This window comes from Homo sapiens, chromosome 5, assembly GCF_000001405.40.
Source record: "Homo sapiens chromosome 5, GRCh38.p14 Primary Assembly".
Taxonomy (NCBI): Eukaryota; Metazoa; Chordata; class Mammalia; order Primates; family Hominidae; genus Homo; species Homo sapiens.
This window is the reverse complement of record NC_000005.10, coordinates 121,062,047-121,066,320: the sequence shown is the minus strand read 5'-3', so window position 1 is coordinate 121,066,320 and position 4,274 is coordinate 121,062,047. Positions and strand designations below refer to the sequence as shown.

The following is a 4,274-nucleotide window of genomic DNA, read 5'->3' as shown; positions in this document are numbered from 1 at the left end:
GGTCTTGACTCTTTATCCAATTTGCCAGCCTGTGTCTTTTAATTGGAGCATTTAGTCCATTTACATTTAAAGTTAATATTGTTATATGTGAATTTGATCCTGTCATTATGATGTTAGCTGGTTATTTTGCTCATTAGTTGATGCAGTTTCTTCCTAGTCTCAATGGTCTTTACATTTTGGCATGATTTTGCAGTGGCTGGTACCGGTTGTCCCTTTCCATGTTTAGTGCTTCCTTCAGGAGCTCTTTTAGGGCAGGCCTGGTGGTGACAAAATCTCTCAGCATTTGCTTGTTTGTAAAGTATTTTATTTCTCCTTCACTTATGAAGCTTAGTTTGGCTGGATATGAAATTCTGGGTTGAAAATTCTTTTCTTTAAGAATGTTGAATATTGGCCCCCACTCTCTTCTGGCTTGTAGAATTTCTGCTGAGAGATCAGCTGTTAGTCTGATGGGCTTCCCTTTGAGGGTAACCCAACCTTTCTCTCTGGCTGCCCTTAACATTTCTTCCTCCATTTCAACTTTGGTGTATCTGACAATTATGTGTCTTGGAGTTGCTCTTCTCGAGGAATATCTTTGTGGCGTTCTCTGTATTTCCTGAATCTGAATGTTGGCCTGCCTTGCTAGATTGGGGAAGTTCTCCTGATAATATCCTGCAGAGTGTTTTCCAACTTGGTTCCATTCTCCCCATCACTTTCAGTTACACCAATCAGATGTAGATTTGGTCTTTTCACATAGTCCCATATTTCTTGGAGGTTTTGCTCGTTTCTTTTTATTCTTTTTTCTCTAAACTTCCCTTCTCACTTCATTTCATCTTCCATCACGGATACCCTTTCTTCCAGTTGATCGCATCGGCTCCTGAGGCTTCTGCCTTCTTCACATAGTTCTTGAGCCTTGGTTTTCAGCTCCATCAGCTCCTTTAAGCACTTCTCTGTATTGATTATTCTAGTTATACATTCTTCTAAATTTTTTTCAAAGTTTTCAACTTCTTTGCCTTTTGTTTGAATGTCCTCCCGTAGCTCTGAGTAATTTGATCGTCTGAAGCCTTCTTCTCTCAGCTCGTCGAAGTCATTCTCCGTCCAGCTTTATTCCATTGCTGGTGAGGAACTGCATTCCTTTGGAGGAGGAGAGGCACTCTGCTTTTTAGAGTTTCCAGTTTTTCTGCTCTGTTTTTTTCCCATCTTTGTGGTTTTATCTACTTTTGGTCTTTGATGGTGGTGATGTACAGATGGGTTTTTGGTGTGGATGTCCTTTCTGTTTGTTAGTTTTCCTTCTAACAGACAGGACCCTCAGCTGCAGGTCTGTTGGAGTACCTGGCCCTGTGAGGTGTCAGTCTGCCCCTGCTGGGGGGTGCCTCCCAGTTAGGCTGCTCGGGGATCAGGGGTCAGGGACCCACTTGAGGAGGCAGTCTGCCCGTTCTCAGATCTCCAGCTGTGTGCTGGGGGAACCACTGCTCTCTTCAAAGCTGTCAGACAGGGACATTTAAGTCTGCAGAGGTTGCTGCTGTCTTTTTGTTTGTATGTGCCCTGCCCCCAGAGGTGGAGCCTACAGAGACAGGCAGGCCTCCTTGAGCTGTGGTGGGCTCCACCCAGTTCAAGCTTCCTGGCTGCTTTGTTTACCTAAGCAAGCCTGGGCAATGGTGGGTGCCCCTCCCTCAGCCTTGCTACCGCCTTGCAGTTTGATCTCAGACTGCTGTGCTAGCAATCAGCGAGACTCCGTGGGCGTAGGACCCTCTCATCCAGGCATGGGATATAATCTTCTGGTGCACCGTTTTTTTAGCCCGTCGGAAAAGCGCAGTATTCGGGTGGGAGTGACCCGATTTTCCAGGTGCCGTCTGTCACCACTTTCTTTGACTAGGAAAGGAACTCCCTGATCCCTTGCGCTTCGAGAGTGAGACAATGCCTCGCCCTGCTTAGGCTCGCGCATGGCGCACTGCATGCACCCACTGACCTGCGCCTACTGTCTGGCATTCCCTAGTGAGATGAACCCGGTACCTCAGATGGAAATGCAGAAATCACCCGTCTTCTGCGTCATTCACGCTGGGAGCTGTAGACCGGAGCTGTTCCTATTCGGCCATCTTGGCTCCTCCCTTCATGTAAGATCTTAATACAGCAAAGATAAACCTATTTTTACACAGTACATTCGTGACATTTTTAAATATTTATGCTATATTTTTCTTTAAACTATACAAACAACAATTCAAATGAAATGTCCCTAAATGGGTCTAATTATATCTAAAAATGTACAGAAAGTACATTATTACTGCTATATTTATAGCCTTTTGGATACTCTAATGTTTTATTGAATTCTTTTATTTTCAATTTAATAGTGAGATACCTTACTTCCAGGTGAAAGAGAATTTTATGTTTTCTGATTTCACAATTATATTTTCATTATATTATGACCAGAAATATTTGCAATATTAATACTTATAATAAAATAAGAAAGTGTTCAAGAAGTCTAGAAACATTAAAAATGGGATTTAAAAATAAGTTTCTGCTATGGTTCCCAACACTTTGGAATTCCTATACATGTTATCAGTCTCAAAGAAATTTGCCTCTAAAGAATAAGCTTCTTTACCTACAGATGGCAACACCCACCTCTAAGAATAACTGCATGAGACTCTAAAGAAATTTAGACGTTAGGGTTATAATATATTGATCCTTCTTTTTTTTATCTATTCATCTATCTATATCTTCTATATATATATATATCTGTATATAGATATATATATCTATCTATATATCACTTCAATAGTGACACAACTTTAACCTGTTACTTGTTTCTATTTCTAAAGTACACAAAGCAAACAAGAATAAACATGGTCATGCCAAAATGGAATTATTTTTGTGTGCCTTATATCCTATATCCTGAAGTCCAATTCTCAGTAGTAGTACAATACTCTATTGATATGAGTATGCTTTCTGAGAAACAAGAAAATACTAGTATTTTAGATTGATGCTTATTAATTGTAATGTATGCTGCAACTTCAAAAAGTTTTAAGTGTGCAGAATATACTTATTTGAGGAAATAAAGATTGATTTTATTTATTACTATTACATGCTATGATGATAAGTTATATAAATTTAAAAAAATAGAAACACAACATAGCAAATTAGTTCTAACTCATTGTATCTATAATAAAACATATTTTAAAAATGTATATGCCATGAGTAAAAACAAGTTATACAATGCAAACATAGTACTAATTTAAAAGCTAAAGATACAACATGGTAATATAGGAACATTTCATATTAATATGTGTAGGCTCAATTCTCACCACATAAGAAAATAATGGTAGAGCTGTCCTTATCTTATTTAACAAGTGATTGTCCATGCTTAAGTCAATCTTTGGTAGCCACTTTAGAAAGTAGTAAACTTTTTAATAAAAACATTTTAATTCTGTGCTTAATATTACTTATACTGGAATAGAGGAAGAAAATGAGTACAAACATAGAAAGAATTCTCAATCTTGGAACAGAACATACATGCACTTTTACAGGCAAATGGGAAAATCAAGGTTAGTAAAATCCATACTCATATCAGAATTATTAGTCATTGTATAGAAAACAAGAGTAAATAGTAAATACCCCAAATGAGATTGGTAGCTGGTAAAAATGTTTTACTTTCTTGTTCATTTAATGAAATGCACTGTGGTTCTTAGTGATATAGATCACTTTGCAGTATATAAGTCCCTAAAGAAACAATTGGTGCAGGATAAAGTTAATGTACATAGTATTTTGTTGAATAAGACTTTCAACACCCAATACTTTCATATAATGAAGCTTCAAATGAGCAGTATTAACAACTGAAAATGAATGAAGATTTTGAGTGTCCATCTTGTGCCAACTCCCTAACTCTAAAGCAACACATGTACAGGATGGATTCAAAAAACATACTGAAGACCTTGAAAACTGAACTGACATTGAAGAAATCACTCACATAAAATGATACAGAATTTCTACTAAGAACTACACCTTTATACAGAAAATTTAGGTCAATTTTTCAATGCCACTCTATCTGTGACTTTTGGAGTATAGAAGATAAGCATTTAATTTGTCCATCAGTAAAATGCACACCTTTATTTCTTGCAGTATGAGCCTGTCTTTGCAACCTCTTGGTAGCTTGTCTATGTTTAACTTCTCTGTACCGGTCACTTAGAACAAGACATTGGAAGCTGCACCAAAAGAAAGAATAAGGTTTGAGAACTGTGGAGTTTAATTAATGAATATGAGAGTCTTCCAGGAAGCACATTATACTAAAAGATTCCAGAAATCGT

At 37.7% G+C, this 4,274-nt stretch overlaps 1 annotated feature.

Annotated features, from left to right (window-relative positions):
• Nucleotides 1,232–1,831: an enhancer, noted in NCBI's record as "H3K27ac-H3K4me1 hESC enhancer chr5:120400185-120400784 (GRCh37/hg19 assembly coordinates)". NCBI's record gives its function as "activates a minimal SCP1, AML or CMV promoter by ChIP-STARR-seq in naive H9 embryonic stem cells {active_cell/tissue: H9 hESC(naive)}" and the evidence as "EXISTENCE:reporter gene assay evidence [ECO:0000049][PMID:30033119]".